This window comes from Homo sapiens, chromosome X (assembly GCF_000001405.40).
Source record: "Homo sapiens chromosome X, GRCh38.p14 Primary Assembly".
NCBI classification, from domain to species: domain Eukaryota; kingdom Metazoa; phylum Chordata; class Mammalia; order Primates; family Hominidae; genus Homo; species Homo sapiens.
This window is the reverse complement of record NC_000023.11, coordinates 18,516,279-18,536,827: the sequence shown is the minus strand read 5'-3', so window position 1 is coordinate 18,536,827 and position 20,549 is coordinate 18,516,279. Positions and strand designations below refer to the sequence as shown.

General features: G+C 39.0%; 1 protein-coding gene and 1 pseudogene across 3 annotated transcripts in view; both read right to left on the bottom strand.

Annotated features, from left to right (window-relative positions):
- CDKL5 (cyclin dependent kinase like 5) overlaps positions 1-20,549 on the bottom strand; it is a 228,022-nt gene that overhangs the window by 116,802 nt on the left and 90,671 nt on the right. The window lies entirely within an intron of this gene.
- GJA6P (gap junction protein alpha 6, pseudogene) lies at positions 1,039-1,962 on the bottom strand (annotated as a pseudogene).

Genomic DNA, 20,549 nt, shown 5'->3' with positions numbered 1-20,549 from the left:
GTTTAAAAGTCTAGGAAAGATCGGTGCAGCCAGAAGCTCTCAGGAGGGAGACACACAGGTTGCTTTCTTAAAACTTTATTGAGGCCAGGCACGGTGGCTCACGCCTGTAATCCCAGCACTTTGGGAGGCTGAGGCAGGCAGATCACCTGAGGTCAAAAGTTCGAGACCAGCCTGGCCAGCATGGTGAAACCCCGTCTCTACCAAAAATACAAAAATTAGCCAGGGGTGGTGGCGCACGTCTATAATCCCAGCCACTCAGGAGGCTGAGGCAGGAGAATCACTTGAACCGGGAGGCAGAAGTTGCAGTAAGCGGAAATCACGCCACTGCACTCCAGCCTGGGCAACAGAGTGGGACTCCGTCTCAAAAAAAAAAAAAAAAAAAAAAAAAAAAAAAACCTGTATTGAATAAATAATACTCTCTAGAACTTGTAATATGATGAACTAGGTCTACATTGCATGCAATAAAGCTAAAAATGACAGCAGTTTACTATCAAATATTAAGCAAATTAGCATTTCTCATTGTACAGGAACCCTGGTAGTCTAATGTCTTTGTGTCTGCTAAGTCTCACGACTGAGGTTTTTGAGTACCACCTCCACTGGGGCAAAGGTGCGCTTTCTACTGCGACTTCCTTCTCTTAAACAATCAAGCAGAATCATAATGCTTCCAAGTATGCATCTTGATCTCTAGGTCATCAGGCTGCTGCTGGCATGACTACTGGCTCTGCAGGATGGCTGCTGGCCTACCATGGCTAGTGCCCAGTAGCTAGGTTTTTGCTTTTGTTTAAGAACTCTGTTTATCAGCAGGGAAATCAAAAGACTGGGAGTCAGAGGGGGTACTTCCTGCCTGCTCCATTCAATCTTGCTATGCACTGTAACTAGAAGGGTTTTTGCTCACTTCCTTGTTGTGCCTACAGCAAGAGGAATTGTTTCTTTCTCCAGGAACTAGCTTGTCCCCAGGAGGGGACATGGTGGAGAGAGGAAGAGTTGATATGGAGCCATTGGAGGGACTCTGCAGGCCAGGTGTATCACTCTCCTGATCCTTCACATGATCCTTAAATGCTCTTAAATGAGACACTGAATAACGCAATGATGTTCAAGGCAAGAGACACCAAGGACACCACCAGCATGAAGATGATGAAGGTGCTTTTCTCCGGGGGCGAGAGAGTAAGCAGTCCACTTAATGTGGGGAAAGATCTCGTTTGCAAGTGTAAACCACACTTAGGCTGAATCCATAGACAGACCACGGGATCATCAGGAAGGCCACCTCAAACAGAGGCCTGAAGATGACACCAATGGTACACGTTCGCAGCAAGCTCCCTGGGATTCTCACCCTTCCATGTTTCTCAAGGCCACACTTGAACTTCTTTATTTCAATTCCCTGCAAGTGCATCTCCACACTGACATCATCAATTTGGGCAACTTCGAGTTCTCCCAATTGCCTGTTCAACTTCTCTTCTTTTCACATCACGTAGAACATGTGTGTCAGGTACAAGAGTGGGGGAAGAGACACAAGTATTATCTGCAGAACCCAGAAGCATACATGGGAGATTGGCAAAGACTGGTCATAGCAGACATTTTCACAACCAGGCTGTTGAGTGTTCAATGAAAGGCAAACTGCTCATTATCCCAGGCTGACTCAACTGCAGTACTCAGGAGCAGGATTGGGGAAATGAAAAGGACTGAGAACCACACCTTACCTCCAGCTGGGGACTAAGCTTGAACCTTCTCTAGGAGGTGCCTGAGGCACTCCAGTCACCAACGTTGCCTGTTCGCTGTTAGTTCACTTAAAAAAAGTGAAGTAGGCATGCCAAATGATTGCACTCATTGGGGGACTAAGTAAAATGAAAAAAGTTAAGTTCAAGCAGCCAAAACTGTCTCAAGTTCAAAAGTCTGCTGCTGTTTGGTACCTTCCTCGCTCCTTCTCCCTAATGAAAGAAAATTGCTCACACCAGGTAGAAGTTTATGTGAATTCATTTTCATGCAAGGTGAGTAAGTACTTCTAAACAAGGATGTACATATACCTATAATAGGGCAAGTTACATAGATGGAGGAACAAAATAGACAAATCTAAAGGTCTCTTTCAATTCCAGAATAAAGGAATCTCGAAAACAATGATTCAACAACAGAAACTGAATTAACAATTCATACTTACACACTGACTAATTCATCTTGAGAAAATTAGGGCCAAAATCTCCCAAATAGATAATGATATTCATTCAACTACTATTTATTTAGAGCCTCCTAGGTGCCAGGTACTGTGCTAGGCACTGGTTCATTGGTGAGTAAAATGAAATTCCTATACGTGTGGAACTCACAATCAACCGGGGGAAACAATAATTAAAAGTGCAATATTTTATTAAATGTAAGACAATTGTAAGATAAACCATTATTTTACCTACCATTCAGAAAGGAATCAAGAAATCCAGTTTAAGATACATCACAATTTCAGAAATATGAGGAAAAATATATATCATAGAATCCAGAAAAAAGGCTCAGTGAGCAAGTGAATATACAACTTCAAATTTAATTAAGTGCCAAGAAGAAAACAAATAGGAGGCCCCAGCAGAGGACAACGCGAAGACACCCAGATCAGACTGGATAGGGTCGGCCAGGTCAAAACACTGAGAAAATTGCTGCAGATGAAGGAAGCAGCCTGTGCAAAGATTTTTAAGAGTGAAGACCTCACTGTATTCAAGGAACTAAAAGGCAGGCAGTGAGGTTACCAGGTAGTAGGCAAAGGAAGAAACAGCACAGCCTGAGACTGATGCCAGAGCAGGGGCTACCCTCAGGCATCCATTTGGCAGCAGCAGAGAACCAGGGACAGAAAGTGAGATTACACTGTGATGCTGGGGCAAGACGGAGGCCATGGGAGAAATTATTCAAGAGTTCTAGGGGCCAGTGGGAGGGTTGGAGGAAACTGGATCAGACTGAGGAACCTACAGAGCAGCACAAGGATGGGTATTCTGTGCTAACAGATGGCCAGTGAGTTTTGGTGGTGACAAAAAGTAAGGGATGTCAAGAATGATGGGGCTGGTCCTGAGAATCTCTGGAGAGAGGAACAGGCAATCAATCCTGGCACTGTGGTACTGAAGCTTTAGTGAATGAAATGGCATTTTCCAAGGGTATCTGCCAGCCCAGATAGCATGAAGTAGTAAGATCAGGACAAAAAATGAGCTGCTGCTCCCTCATTATCTGGGAATTGGAGGTCAAGTCCCTGACAATAGGGGTCCCAACTTAAATATGTATTTACTGAACATAGACCATCTATCTTCAGTTGAATTGTTAGCACATGGAAGCTATTTTGTTAAGACTATATTACTATACATTGTGTTCATTCTTGTGGGTTTCTTCTAGGGTACTGTCATAATACATGAAGAGTTCTTAAAAAAACATTTTGGGAGGAGCAACACTGATACCACCCACTAATCTGCTAAGGGTGGTGGAACCTGGCATGGTGCTTAACTCATAAGCATGCCACTCCTGAAGACCTGCTAGTCTTTATCCATTTCCACTCTACGGCCCTTACTTCTTTATAATAAAGGTCTCTAAGCAAAAGCATAGTAAAAGGTTTCTGTCTCTAATTCACAGCATGCTACACAAATAGATCTTATTGTAAAATGGGCCACAGCTAATTGATTATTACACAGCAAAAATTAATTATTTTCAACCAAATCCTTTCAGTACGGCAAATCATTTTAAAACACATTTTATTTAGTATATTAAAATTACATTTATAGAGAAAAACAAAAAAAATTACATTCTATTTAACATTTTAATTCTTTTAAAAATATATTTAATTCTCAAAGACAAATATTCATTTTAATCAAATGAGAAAAGAGGAAAATATTTATTAAACACATTAATCTGCTAACTAATAAGCGATCTTTAAATATACTGCTAATTTGTTTCTTGGTTTAATGGCTGTTTCTCACAGTACGTTCAGTGAGAAAAATAAAACTTAAAATGAACCCTAAAAAAGAAGCAAGGTTAACGAAATTTATAATGTCTCAAATGACTGAGGTTAGTTACAACTGTTATCCAAGGATAAGAACTAAAGCCTACCAAAATGCAAATTTGTAGCCAGTAATCAAATTATAAGGCTTTAAAGTACACACACACTACTTTCTCGGTTGCTTAAATAACACATTTTAGCCAAATTGTCCTCTATCACACAGATTCTCAAACTAATCCTATTAAGCTAAAGTCACCACGATCTGTAGTTTATAATTACTACATTCTTCAAGGTTAATTGAAAATAAACCATTGGCAGCATAAGAGTTCCACATTTATTCTCATTAGTTTTTCAAATTTAAGCCGTGCTTAGTCTCTAGAGATTTCAAAGTGCCTTAGAAAACTGAGTTCTTCTTCAAAAATAAGTGGGGTGAAATAAGTGAAGAAAATAATCCCTAGAACTACTTGAGCATGGTTTACAGAAGGTTAAAAAAAAAAAACAATGCTGTAGGGGAGAAAAGGAAATCAAAATGTGTAATAATTCTAGTTTCTTTAGGGTAAAGTTAGTAGCCATTTGCAAGAACTACATAAAGTTCTTAAGTTTTCCAAATATTTTGTTCTGAAAAAGTTCTTACTAAGCATATGAAAATACAGAGATTTGAAATTCAAAGGGATGAAAATAACTGGGAATGAGTCATTTCAGCTAAGAAAATGGTTCACAGGAAAGTTAAAAAACCTCTTGCTGAATATTATTTATAAACTGGACAAGATATTTCCAATTTTAAAATGTAAACAGGACTTCCAGTTTCAGCATCAACCCATACAGTGCTTGGATACCATCACTCCTGTCCTTACATTAAGAAAAAACCCTGGCCGGGCGCGGTGGCTCACGCCTGTAATCCCAGCACTTTGGGAGGCCGAGGCGGGTGGATCACGAGGTCAGGAGATCGAGACCATCCTGGCTAACAAGGTGAAACCCCGTCTCTACTAAAAATACAAAAAATTAGCCGGGCGCGGTGGCAGGCGCCTGTAGTCCCAGCTACTCGGGAGGCTGAGGCAGGAGAATGGCGTGAACCCGGGAAGCAGAGCTTGCAGTGAGCCGAGATTGCGCCACTGCAGTCCGCAGTCCGGCCTGGGCGACAGAGCGAGACTCCATCTCAAAAAAAAAAGAAAAAAGAAAAAAAGAAAAAACCCTAACAAATTGAAAATCAGCAAATTTCTTGGATTTACGGAATTGAGGTCAGAGGGTGAACCAATCGCCTGAAATCTAGAGAAACAGGCAAATACAAAGAATCACATCCAAGATCAGCAGTACCTGGAGCAGAAGGCACTGGAATCATACACTAGTAAGAAAACTTAAATGATAATTTTGACAAAGGCTAACTGAGACTAGCTTGTGAATGAGAACTCCTGGGGACTAAATCTTAGGAGGCCCTCTAAGTTCTTGCAGTTTTACCTCCAGGAAATCTCACCAGGTTCTGACTATGAAGACCCAAGAAAAAACTCCTCCCCTTTTGTGTAAGACACAAGGAAAATTAATTTGAAATACACCCAGGGGTAAGATCTAATAAAAATCTCCTCTTCTTTTAGGTAGGGAGAGGAAGAAAGTAACCATTTTGAAATAAGGCCAGAATGTTTTTCATAACAAAGGTCAACAGTCCAAGAGAAAATTTACCAGAGCCTTGGTGTCCAGGGAGAAAGGAAATCAGCCAAAGACAGTCCCTCTAGCCTTCTTGTTTCATCTAACAGAAGAAAAGGAGGGGAAGGGGTGGCTGGAAACACTTCTGAAGGTTGTAGCCAAAGACTCAGGTCTTACAGAAGAATGAGATTATAGAACACTTTCTTCCCTTCGCCATACTCTTCCCATCATGTCAACAGAGCTCCAGTACATTAACAGAGAATTACAACTGAAAGAGTTGCAAGACACAGACTCACTATTTATAAAGGAGTTCTTAGGAGAACCCACAGACAACAGACTAGGAAAAATAAAATAACAAAGACACTAGAGGAAACTGAAGCCTCTGGCATCTATACCTACATCATTAAACATGACCTAGCTTCTAGACAGATTAACATATAACCTTACACTAAAGGCCTATTTATTCAGTTCCTATTGCCTAATATATCATATCCAGCTTTAAAAAAATTACAAGGCAGGCCAAAAAGCAAGAAAAAGCATAGTCTAAAGAGACAAAGTAAGCATCAGAACCAGACTCAGATATGGCACAGACTTGGGGATTATCAGATAGGGAATTTAAAATAACTGTGATTAATATGTTAAGGGCTCTAATAGGAAAAGTAGACAGCACGCAAGAACAGATGGGTAATGTAAGCATACATAACTCTAAGGAAGAATTAAAAGAAAATGCTAGAAATCAAAATCACTGTAACAAAAATGAAGAATGCTTTTAATGGACTCGACAGTAAACTGGACACGGCTGAGCAAAAAATCACTAGGCTGTAAGATATGTCAGTAGAAACTTCCAAAACTAAAATGGAAAGAGGAAAAAAGAAATTTTTTTTCTTTTTTTTTTTTTTTTTGAGACGGAGCCTCACTCTGTCGCCAAGGCTGGAGTGCAGTGGTGTGATCTTGGCTCACTGCAACCTCTGTCGCCTCCCAGGTTCAAGCAATTCTTCCTGCCTCAGCCTCCTGAGTAGCTGGGATTACAGGCGTGCACCACCATGCCCGGCTAATTTTTTTTTTGTATTTTTAGTAGAGACGGGGTTTCACCACGTTCGCCAGGATGGTCTCGATCTTTTGACCTTGTGATCCGCCTGCCTCAGCCTCCCAAAGTGCTGGGATTACAGGCGTGAGCCACCGTGCCCGGCAAAATAAAGATTTTTAAAAAGCAAAACAGAACATCCAAGAATTATGGGAAAATTACAAAAGGTGTAACATATGTAATTGGAATACGAAGAGAAAAGTGAGACAAGGGAGAAGAAATATTTGAAAGAATAATGGCAAAGAATCTTTCAAAATTAAGGGTGCCAAACTGCATATCCAGGAAACTCAGAGAACACCAAGCAGAATAAATACCAAAAGATCTACACCTAAGTACATCATATTCAAACTACACAAAACTAAACACAAGGAGAAAATTGTGAAAGAAATCAGAGGAAAAAAAACACCTTACCTATAGAGAACAAGGATAAGAATTACCTCTGATGTCCTGTCAGAAACCATGCAAGTAAGAAAGTAGAGTGAAATATTTATAAAATGTTGAAAGAAAAAAAAAACTCTACCTCAAAGTTACTCAGTGAAATGATCCTTCAAAACTGAAGGAGAGTTTCTCAGATAAATGCTGAGTGAATTTGTCACCAGTAGACCTGCCCTTTAAAAATGCTTTAAAAAGTTATTCAGAGAGAAAGCAAAATTATATAGGTAAGAAACTGGGATCTACAGAAAGAAAAGAGCATTGGAGAAGGAATAAATAAGATAAAATCTATTTTTCCTATTCTTAATTGATAACTGTTCAAAATAATAATAGTAACTATTATTGACTGAGTATAGCATATGGATAAGCAATATGAATAATAGTAACGTTATAAGGGACTGGAGGGAGGAGTTCAAAAATTCTAGTAAAAGTTACCTACACTCCTCAAGAAGCAGTATAGAGTTATCTGAAAGTGTACTTAGATAAGTTGTAAATGTACACTGCAAACTCTAGGGCAATGACCGAAAAAAAAAAAAAGTAAAAACAAGTATAATAGACACTAAAACAGGAGAGAAAATGGAATCCTGTAAAACGGTCAGTTAAAACCAGAAGGCAGAAAAAGAGGGGATTAAAAAAAAAAAGTAAGTACAACAAATAGAAAATCAGTTATAAACATGGTTCATATTAATACAACCATATTAATATCATTTTAACTGTGAATGGCCTCAATACACCAGTTAAAAGAAATTATCAGAGTAGATTTAAAAAAATGAATATAAAGGAATGGGCCAGGTGTGGTGGCTCATGCCTGTAATCCCAGCACTTTGCGAGGCTGAGGTGGGAGGATCACTTGAGGCCCAGGAGTTTGAGACCAGCCTGGGCAACATGGCAAAACCCTGTCTCTACAAAAAATACAAAAAGTTAGCCAGGCATGGCAGTGCACACCTGTAGTCCCAGCTACACAGAAGGCTGAGGTAGAAGGATCACTTGAGCCTAGGAGGCGGAGGCTGCAGTGAACCATGATTGTGCCACTGTATTCCAGGCTGGGCAACAGAGCAAGACTGTATCTAAAAATAATTAATAAATAAATAGAAAGCAAAGCAAAGCAAGAGAAAGAGAGAGAGAGAGAGAGAGAGGCAGGGAGGGAAGGGATAGGATAAAAGTAAAGGGATGGAGAAAGTTATACCACGATAACACTAATCAAGAGGAAGTTGAAGTAGTTATATAAATTTTAGACAAAGCAGATTTCAGAACAAGGAAAATCATTGGGATAAAGAATAGCATTACAAAATGCAAAATTCTCCAAGAAGACATAACAATCCTTAATATGAATGTACCAAACTAGAGAGCATCAAAATACATGAGGAAAATACTGATATAACTGCAAACAGAAATAGACAAATCCACTACTATAGTTGGATACTTTAACAGCCCCTTTCAGTAACCGATAGATACAGCAGGCAAAAAAAAAAAAAAAAAAAAAATGAGTATGGGTATCTATGAATTGAACAATACCATCAAGCAACTGGATCTACTTGACATTTATATAATACTTTAGTAACAGCAGAATACACATTCTTCTCAAGCTTACATGGAACAATTACCAAGATAGACCACAACTGGGCCATAACATATACCTTAATAAATTTGTAGCTATCATACTAAGTATGCTATCATACCACAACGGAATAAAAATAGAAATCAGTAACAAAAACATAGCTGGAAAATCTCAAAATGTTTAGAGAATAAACAACAAACTACTAAATAACACATGAGTCAAAGAAGTCTGAAGAGAAATTTTAAAATATTTTGGACTAAATAAAAATACAAGTCAAAACTTGTGCAATACTATGAAAGCAGCACTTAGAGAAAAGTTTATAGCATCAAGTGCGTTATTAGAAAACAGACGTAAAATCAATAATCTACGCTTTACCTTAGGAAAGAAAAGAAAGAAGGGCAACTTAAGCCTAAAACACGGAGAAGAAAAAAAATTTTTAATTACAGTAGAAATCAATGAACTGAAAACAATCAACAGTAAAAACAAAAGCTGCTTCTCTGAAATCAATAAAGCTGATAAACCTCTAGCCAAATTAACCAAGAGAAAAAAAAACACAAATTATTCACATCAGATTTGAATGAAGAGTCATCACTACCAAATCACATGGACATTAAAAGGAAAATAACAGATTATTATAAATAAATCTATGCCTAAAAATTTGACAACTTAGATAAAATGGACCAATTCCTTGAAACATACAAATTACCAAAATTTACACATAAAATAATAATCTGAATAGGCCTGTGTATATGAAAATTGATCAATAATTATTAATATTCCAAAAAAGAAAGCTCCATTCTCACATGGTTTCACTGGTGAATTCTAGCAAACATTTAAGAAATTATACCAATTATCTACAATCTCTTCCAGACAACAGGAGCAGAGGGAATACTTCCTAACTCATTCTATGAGGTCAGTATCATCCTAATACCAAAATAAGCTAAATATATTTTTCAAAAGGCAAACTACAGACCAATACCTCTCATGAATACAGATGCAAAAATCCACAACAAATATTAAGGGAATCAAATCCGCCAATATATGAAAACAACTATACACCAGGTATGAAAGGCTGCTTCAAGGCCAGGCGCGGTGGCTCACGCCTGTAATCCCAGCACTTTGGGAGGCTGAGGCGGGCGGATCACCTGAGGTCGGGAGTTCGAGACCAGCCTGACCAACTTGGAGAAACCCCATCTTTACTAAAAATACAAAATTAGCCAGGCATGGTGGCAGGTGCCTGTAATCCCAGCTACTCGGGAGGCTGAGGCAGGAGAATCGCCTGAACCCAGGAGGCGGAGGTTGCGGTGAGCTGAGATCGCACCATTGCACTCCAGCCTGGGCAACAAGAGTGAAACTCCCTCTCAAAAAAAAAAAAAGAAAGAAAGGCTGCTTCAGCATTCCAAAATCAAGCCATGTAATATACCACCACCACCATGCTAAGTAGAAAAATCACATGGTCTTATCACTGGATACAGAAAAGCGTTTTTTGAAACTCAATCTCCGTCACCGATTTAAGAAAAAAAACAAACCTCCCAGCAATCTAGGCATAGAGAGGAACTTCCTCAGATGAAGAACATCTACAGAAAACCTAACATTATTGGTACTTAACAGTAAGAAACTGCACGCCTTCCCCTTAAGATCAGAAGGATGCCCCACCTCATAAGTCATATTCAACACTGTACTGGAAGTCATAAGAAATACAATAAGATAAGAAAAGGAAAGAAAAGATATACAAATTGGGAAGAAAGAAATAAAACTGTTTTGTTCACAGATGACATGACTGTCTATGTAGAAAATCCCAAAGAATCTACAAAAACAAAAAAAAGAAAAAGAAAAACCTGGAACTACTAAACAATTACAGCAAGGTCACAGGATGCAAAGTTAACAGACAGAAGTCAATTACTTTCCTGTATACCAGCAAAGAACAACTAGAATTTGAAATTGAAAACACAATACAATTTATATTAGCACCCCAAAAATAGTGCTAAGGTATAAACCTAACAAAATATTTGCAGGATCTGTATGTGAAAAATTATTCATTGCTGTTGAAAATCAAAGATGATCTAAATAAATGGAGAGAGATTTTGTGTTCACAGATTATAAGACTCAATATTGTTGGCCGGGTGCGGTGGCTCACGCCTATAATCCCAGTACTTTGGGAGGCCCAGGCGGGTGGATCATCTGAGGTCAGGAGTTTGAGACCAGCCTGACCAACATGGCGAAACCCCAGCTCTACTAAAAATACAAAAATTAGCCAGGCGTGGTGGTGGGAGCCTGCAATCCCAACTACTCGGGAGGCTGAGGCAGGAGAAGCGCTTGAGCCCAGGAGGCGGAGGTTGCAGTGGGCCGAGATCGCACCATTGCACTCCAGCCTGGGCAACAGAGTGAGACTCCAATTAAAAAAAAAAAAAAAAAAAAAGACTCAATATTGTTAAGATGTCAGTTCTTCTCAACTTGATCTGCAGATTCAATGCAATCCCAATCCAAATCCCCAGAAGCTATTCTGTGAATATTGACAAACTAAAGTCAAAGGGTGTATTGAAAGGCCCAAAACAGCCAACCCAATACTGAAGAATGACAAAGTGAAAGGACTGATACTACTACTCCCCTTTAAGATAACACAAAACTACAGTAATCAAGACAATATGGTATTGGTGAAAAATAGACACAGACATCAATGGAACAGAATAAAGCACAAAAACAGACTCAAGAGCCAGCCTGGTCAACATAGCAAGACCCTGTCCCTATAAAAAATTTAAAAATTAGGCTGGGCGCGGTGGCTCACGCCTGTAGTCCCAGCACTTTGGGAGGCTGAAGTGGGTAGATCACCTGGGGTCAGGAATTCAAGACCAGCATGATCAATATGCTGAAACCCCATCTCTACTAAAAATATAAAAATTAGCCAGGCGTGGTGGCATGTACCTGTAGTCCTTGCAACTCAGGAGGCTGAGACTAGGACGTGCTTGAACCCAGGATGTGGAGGTTGCAGTGAGCCAAGATTGCGCCACTGCACTCCAGCCTGGGTGACAGAGCGAGACTCCATCTCAAAAATAATTAATTAGTTAATTTAAAAATTAGCAGGGCATGGTGGCATGAGCCTATAGTCCCAACCACTTAGGAGACTGAGATGGGAGGATTACTTGAGCCCAGGAGTTTGAAGCTGTAGTGAGCCATGACTGCATCACTGTATTGCAGCCTGGATGACAAAGCAAGACCCCATCTCTAAAACAAACAAACAAACAAAAAATAGACTCGACACAATTACAATCAGCAGATCTTTGACAAAGGAGCACAGGCAATCCAATGGGGAAAGCAATCTTTTCAACAAACGGTGCTAGATGTCCAAATGCAAAAGAAAGGATCTAGACACAGACCTTACAAGTCTCACAAAAACTAAATCAAAATGGATCATACACCTAAACGTAAAATGCAAATGTATAAAACTTCCAGAAGATAACCTAGAAAATCTAGGTGACCTTCAGTTTGGCAATGAGGTTTCAGATGTAACACCAAAAGGACTGTCCATGAAAGACAAAATTGCTAAGTAGGATTTCATTAAAATTAAAAACTTCTGCTCTGGTAAACATACCATTGTAAGAATGAAAAGACATGCCACAGACTGGAAGGAAATATGTGCAAAACACATATCTGGAGAGTGTTAGCACTGAAAATGGCAGAACTGGGAAATCTAGGACTCTGTCCCTCCACAAAAACAACTAATGAGCTTGCAAAAAGTATCAGAATCAACTTTTCCACAACTCTGCAGGTATTCAAAAACTCACAACTACCAGAGGAAGGCTTGGTGAAAGAGGTAGCTGCTTTGTGATAACACTGTGCATTTTAAACTGCCCACCTACCTTTACCCACATATCATATCCATGGCAGATGAGAAGACTAGAAATAGAGGACAACTTCCTCAACCTGTTAAAGGACATTTTTAAAACCCATAGCTAACATCATGAATACTCAATGGTAATAGACTAAAACCCCTCCTCTCAAGATCAGGAACAAGACAAAGATGCCCACTTTCACCACTTCTATTCAACAAAGCACTGGAAGTTCTAGCCAGAGCAATTTGACAAGTAGAAGAAATAAAAGGTGTCCAAATTGTAAATGGATAAGTAGAACTACCCCTATTCACAGATGGTACCTTATACAGAGAAAATTCTAAAGAATCCACACACAAAAATATTAGAACTAATAAACGAATTCAGCAAAGTTGCATAATACAAGATCAAAACACAAAAACCAGTGGGCCCCAAAATATTAAACATGTAATTACCATATGACCCAACAATGCTACTCCTAGGTATATATTCAAAAGAATTGAAAACAAGGACTCAGATACTTGTATGTGAATGTTCATAGCAGCATTATTCATAATAACCAAAGGTATAAATAACTCAAGTGTCCACGAAGAAACAAATGGATAAACAAAATGTGGTGTACATTCTCCCCCCACATATCATATCCATGGCAGATGAGAAGACTATAAATAGAGGGCAAGTTCCTCAACCTGATAAAGAACATTTATAAAACCCACAGGTAACAGCACGAATACTCAATGGTAATAGATGATGTCTAATTACATGTATACAACACATTTTGTTCGTTGTATACATATACAATGAACATGATGTTTTCAAGGTTCAACCATATAATATTGTTATATGTTGTTCCAATATTGTTCAGTCATATAAAGGAATGAAGTTCTGATATACTCTACATGAATGAACCTTAAAAACATCATGCTAAGTGAAAGAAATCGGACACAAAAGGACAAATACTGTAATATTCCACTTATATAAAATATCTAGAATAGGCAAAAATCACAGAGACAGAAAGTAGGTTGGAAGTTACAACTACTGGGGATAGGGGAATTAGAGAGTTATTGCTTAATTGGCAGAGAGTTCCTGTTTGGGGTAATGAAAAAAATGTGCAAATACATAGTAGTGATGGTTACGTAACACCGTGAATACAATTAATGTCAAACTGCGGCCTTAGAAATAGTTAAAACGGCAAATTTTATATTACATATATTTTACCACAATAAAAAAAAATAAACTGGGGCCGGGTGTGGTGGCTCACGCCTGTAATCCCAGCACTTTGGGAGGCCAAGGCAGGCAGATCACTTGAGGTCTGGAGTTCAAAACCAGCCTGGCCAACATGGTGAAACTCTGTCTCTACTAAAAATACAAAAATTAGCTGGGTGTGGTGGCATGCACCTGTAATCCCAGCTGCATGGGGGACTGAGCCAGGAGAATGGCTTGAACCTGGGAGGCAGAGGTTGCAGTGAGCCGAGATCACACTACTGCACTACAGCCAGCCTGGGTGACAGAGCCTCTGTCTCCAAAAAAAAAAAAAAAAAAATCGATAATATTTCTATACACTGGCAACAAACAATCTTAAAAAAATTTCTTAAAAAGAAATTAACAGCAATTTCATTTAAAATAGCTTAAAAAAATCTTTAAAAAATTTCTTAAAAAAGAAATTAACAGAGCTATTTCATTTAAAATAGCAGCGAGGTGCGGTGGCTTACGCTTGCAATCCTAGCACTTTGGGAGGCCAAGGTGGGTGGATTACGTGAGGCCAAGAGTTTGAGACCAGCCTGGCCAACATGGCAAAACCCTGTCTCTACTAAAAATATAAAAATTAGCTGGGCGTGGTGGTGCACATCTGTAATACCAGCTACTCAGGAGGCTGAGGCATGAGAATTGCTTGAACCCAGGAGGCAGAGGTTGCAGTGAGCCAAGATCACAACACTTCACTCCAGCCCGGGCAACACACCGAAAGTCTGTCTCAAAAAAAAAAAAAAAAAAAAAAAAAAAGCTCCAGCCTGGGCAACAGAGCAAGACTCTGCCTCAAAAACAAAAAAGGCATCCGAATGAATAAAACATCTAAGAATAAATCTAACCAATGAGGTAAAAGACTAGCACACTGAAAACTACAAAACATTGCTAAAAGAAGTTAAACACTTAAATATATGGAAAGGTCCCATGGATTGGAAGAATTTATAGTTAGGATGACAGTACTACCCAAAGCAATCTACAGAGTCACTGCAATCTCTATCAAAATTTCAACAGCTTTTTTTCCCAGAAATGAAAAAAAAAATTTCAAATTCATACAGAATTGCAAGGAGCCCTTGATAGACAAAATAGTATTGAAAAAGAATAACAAAGTTGGAAGACTCACACTTCCGAATTTCAATATTTACCACAAATTTATAGTAATCGAACCAGTGAAGTGCTGACATAAAGACAGGCACATAGCCCAGAGGAATAAAAGTGAGAGTCCACAAACAAACCCACATGTCTATGGCCAACTGATTTTCAACAAGGGTGCTAGCACCAGTAAATGGGGAAAGAATGATCTCTTCAACAAATCCAGGTGCTGGGACAACTGAATATCCACAAGCAAAAGAATGAAGTTAGACCTCTATCTCACAACATATACAAAAACAGTACAAACGTTATGAGAAATTACTTAATGGGTACAATGTACATTATTTGGGTATGGTTACACAAAAACCTCAGACTTCATCCACTACGCAAATAAACCCATGTAACAAAACTGTACTTGTACGCCTTAAATATATAAAAATAAAATTTCATTAAAACAATTTTTAACTGTACAAACAACAATTCAAAATGGATCAACAACCTAACATAAGAGCTAAAACTATACTACTGTACCATTAAAAAAAAGACAGCCATAAATCTTCATGACATTGGATTCGGCAATGGTTTTAAAAATATGAGCAATAAAGGAAAAAATAAACTGGACTTCATCAAAATTAAAAACCTTGTACATCATCTAGCACACTATTAAGAAAGTGAAAAGGCAACCTACAAAATTAGAGAAAATATTTGCAAGCCATATATCTGATAAGGAATCTATATTCAGATTATATGAATAACTCTTACAATTCAACCAAAAAGACAACCCAATTTTAAAATGCTCAATGGATTGGAATAGACATTTCTCCAAAGAAGATATACAAATGACCAAAAGCGCATGAAAAGATGCTCAAAATCACTCATCATTGGGGAAATGGAAATCAAAACCACAATAAGATACCACACTACATCCACTAGGGTGGCAACAATTAAAAAGTAATAATAAGGTGGCCAGGCGTGGTGGCTCACACCTATAGTCCCAACACTTTGGGAGGCCAAGGTAGGTGGATCGCTGGAGGCCAGGAGTTTGAGACCAGCCTGGCCAACATGGCAAAACCCCATCTCTAATAAAAATACAAAAATTAGTCAGGCATGGTGGCTTGCACAACTGTAATCCCAGTTACTCGGGAGGCTGAGGCACAAGAATCACTCGAACCTGGGAGGCGGAGGTTGCAGGGAGACACTGCACTCCAGCCTGGGCGACAGAGTGAGACTTTGTCTCAATGAGGAGGAGGAGAAGGAGGAGGAAACAAGAGTTGGTGAGGATGTTGAGAAATTGGAACTCTCATACATTGCTGGTGGGAATGTAAAGGAGGGCAGCTGCTGTGGAAAACAGTTTAAGCAATTTTTCAAAAAATTAAACATGGCATTTCCACTCTACTTTGGGGTATATACCCCAGAGAATTGAAAATAGAAATTCAAACAACACTTGTACATGAATGTTCATAGCAGTAATAGTCACAATAGACAAAAGGTAGAAACAACTCAAATGTCCATGACTGATGAAAAGATAAACACGATGAGGTATATTCATACAACACGAAACAGTATCATGCAGGCATAAAATGGAATGAAGTACTGTTACATGCTACAACGTGGATAAACTTTGAAAACATAGGTCAAAGAAGCCAAACACAAACGGTCACATGTTGTATGATTTGTATGATTCCATTTATATGAAATATCCAAAATAGGTAAATACAGAAAGCAGATTGGTGGTTGCCAGGGGCAAGGGAAAATGGGGGGTAAATAGTGAGTACAGGGTTTTCTTTTGAGGTGATGAAAATGTTTTGGAACTTCAAAGAGGTGGTGGTTGCACAACATTATGAATGTACTCAATGTCACATACTTGTATACTTTAAAATGGTTAATTTCATGTTATGTGACTTTTACCTCAATTTTTTTAAGAAAGAAGGGGAGCCTAAAATGTGACTAATTCCCGGCTCAACCATCTACTGACTTGTATGGCTTTCAGGAAATTAACCTATTCGAGCACCAGTTTCCCCCACATAAGAGGAGGATAATTCCTTCTAACTTTTATGGTTAATGTGAGGATTGAAAGAGACACGAAAATAAAGCAGCTAGCACAACGCCTGGAAGAGGCACTTGAAACAAAAGTTAACTGTTTCGTCTTAATTTCTTATTTACGTTCCTTTGAATCTCACATATTTTTCTCCAAAGTATTTTACACTCATAAATCTCTTCATATTTATGAGAATGTCCTTCTCTTGAGCTGAAGAATTTTTTCACAATCTCAATGAGGACTGTTTTCTTCTTCGTATTCGTCTTTGGGTGGAAAGGGTACTATGCAGGCCAGTGATGTGACAGAAGGTAAATAGACTATATGCGTCTCTGTATGCCCAGTACCCAGCAAATTCCACATCTCTGCTGTGACAGTTGACACGTGAAAGAGGTAACCAATACAAAACTTCCTGCCCAGCCATTCAAAGGATTTACTCAAGTCCAGATCAACGGAAAAGTAATTTTCACTGAAGTCCCCCACCTTATTAACCTTATTCCTCAGGCTCTTAGAGCACCAAGGGCAAAGAGTCAAATAGAAATTAAGACTGTGGTTCACTAAGGCCACTACGCTGTTCCCACAATATTCTCCTAGTTAGGGCTTGCTCAATATCAGAAGTCAGCAAACTCTTTCTATACAAAGTCAGATAATAAATATTTCAGGCTTTGTGGGTCAGTCTCTATCACAACTACTCAACCGTCATTGTATTGCAAAAGCATGCACAAAAAATACTTAAATGACTGTGGCTGCATTCCAACAAAACTTTATTTATAAAATAGAGCCCACAGGCAGTAGTTTGCCAACTCCGGATCTATACAGCTAGGAGAGGTTCTCCTGCCCATCCTAATATGGTAGAGTCTTAACGGCAATGACTTGGGCTTCCTGGATCAAGTTTCAACTGTGCCATTTGGGGAAGGTTCTACAATCCATCATTACTACACCAAGGATTCTGGGCCCTCTGACACACAGAGGTAAAACAGAGGTTCTCACTATACCATTCTCATTCAGTCCATTATCAGCTAATAATGTTACTCCTTAATTCTATTCCCAGCTTTATGGTAGTTCTCATGTGGGGTTCTGGGAAATGCTTTTCCCCTCCCGCTTTATTATTGACATGAATTTTTCCTAAGGCAGGCTTCAATGGAGAAATTTATTGGAAAAAAAAAAAAGGGAAAGGTTTCACACTATCATGTCAACTACCATCTTATCTCAAATTCACCTCCCAAACTATATGTTAAACTTCCTGACAACAGAAAACATGACTTTAGGGCTGGGGCGATGGCTCACGCCTATAATCCCAGCACTCTGGGAGGCCGAGGGTGGATCATGAGGTCAAGAGATCGAGATCATCCTGGCCAACATGGTAAAACGCCATCTCTACTAAAAATAAAAAAAATTAGCCAGGCATGGTAGCGGGCACCTGTAGTCCCAGCTACTCGGGAGGCTGAGGCAGGAGAATCACTTGAACCCGGGAGGCAGAGGTTGCAGTGAGCTGAGATTGTCCCACTGCACTCCAGCCTGGCGACAGAGCGAGACTCTGTCACAAAAAAAAAAAAAAAAAAAAAAAAAAAAAAAAAAATAAGAAAAGAAAAGAAAACATGACTTTATATTTGTTAATTTATCCATGTTAAATTCCTTAAAAGTAAAAATTACATCTTATTTTTTTTTGTAGTCAGTGCCTAGCTAAGTGCCTGATATTTGATAGGCATTCAACAGATTTTCCTTAGATGTCTGGTTGAATTTTACTTTATGATGTCATGCCTAGAACACAGTGTTTTAAGTATAGGAAGTAACTTTAAAAACAAAAAAAAAAGTTGATTTTTTTTAAATTAAAATGCTTTAATATATGAAATACACCTTTAAATTGTAAAATATGAACTACAGCTTCTAATTACACAGTAAATCAGTGTTGGATTACTTTTTATGTAGAAATAGATCACGACGTACTACTCTGTTGTTTTCTGAGACGGAGTCTTGCTCTGTCGCGCAGGCTGGAGTGCAGTGGCCCAATCTCCGCTCACTGCAACCTCCGCCTCCCGGGTTCAAGCAATTCTGCCTCGGCCTCCTGAGTAGCTGGGATTACAGGTGTCCGCCACCATGCCCAGCAAATTTTTTTGTATTTTTAGTAGAGATGGGGTTTCACCATGTTGGCCAGGCTGGTCTTGAACTCTTGGACCTCAGGTGATCTGCCTGCCTTGGCCTCCCAAAGTGCTGGGATCCATGCACTACTTTGAAGAAGTTTCAACAACTGATAAAGAGCTATGCTTAAATTACTCAAGAGTTTCCACTATATAGGTATTTGTTCATCAGTGCCTATATATTGCAGGCCTGTGGGGGGAAAAATGATTCACACTCATTTTTGTTTCTGAAGTTTTGAAGAAAAGTGGCATTAAGGAGCTAGTATAAATCACTTAAGCACATTTATCAGAGCCTAATGAAATTATTCACCTTATAGTACAGAAGAGATGTTCTCTTCTTTGAACTAATTATATTTTTATGATTACCATAAAAGGACTTTAAAGTTAACTATAAGTATTCAATAAATAAGAATGTTAACTTAAATTAGAGAACTGAAGATGAAAGATGTAGTAGAGAGCTGTTGCAGAGTAGCAGGAACTCAGTCCCTGAAGAGGGATGAAAGATAATCCCAAGGATTTGAAAGTGGTACACTGGAAAAGCATTCCAGCCAATTCATCCTCTAGAAGTGAGCGGGGAAACGATGATTTAGGAACTGAATCACTGTAAAAAGGAGGAATGAGGAAAAGTTTTCAGAGTAGAAAGAGGTAATACTAATTGTAACATGACCATTCCCTTACTCTGTTTACTAAAAAACTCACAAACAATAAACTAAATGTAGATTCGGATGATGAGGATAAAGGCAAACAGGAGGCTTGCAAAGGCCCAAAACTCTTCTAGCTCCCTAAAAAAGTTAGGTCAGGCCAGGTGCTCACGCCTGTAATTGCAGCACTTTGGGAGGCCCAGGCGTTGTGGATCACATGAGGTCAGGGGTTCAAGACCAGCCTGACCAACATGGTGAGACCCTGTCTCTACTAAAAATACAAAAAATTAGTCAGTGTGGTGGCACATGCCTGTAATCCCAGCTACTTGGGAGGCTGAGGCAGGAGATCACTTGAACCCAGGAGGCGGAGGTTGCAGTGAGCCGAGATAGCGCCATTGGACTCCAGCCTGGGTGACAAGAGCAAAACTTCATCTCAAAAAAACAAAAAGTCAGATCAGCATGGAAAATGACACATGACCCATTATTTCTTTAATAGATAAAAAGACAACACAAGTGGCCAGGCGCCTGTAATCCCAGTACTTTGGGAGGCCAAGATGGGAGGATTGCTTGAGGCCAGGAGTTCGAGACCAGCCTGGTCAACATAGCGAGATCCTATCTTATTAGAAAAAAAAAAAGACAACAGCAGCATTTGTAGTTTTTCCGGTATCAACAGTCTAGCAAAATCTCAAATACAAAATATTAAAATACAAAGAATTAGAATTTGGGTGAGACTATTTCAGCGTTCCAGGCACTGTTCTACAATTAATTGGATCAGCAACAAAACCCAGGACAAGAGCAGAAACCACACACAATGGTTCTCTATGAGTGCTTCTCTAAGAGGAGACAGATCTTTTTCCTCAAGTATCTTCTTAAAATTGTTTAGCAATAAAAAAAAAAAAAAAAACGTAGG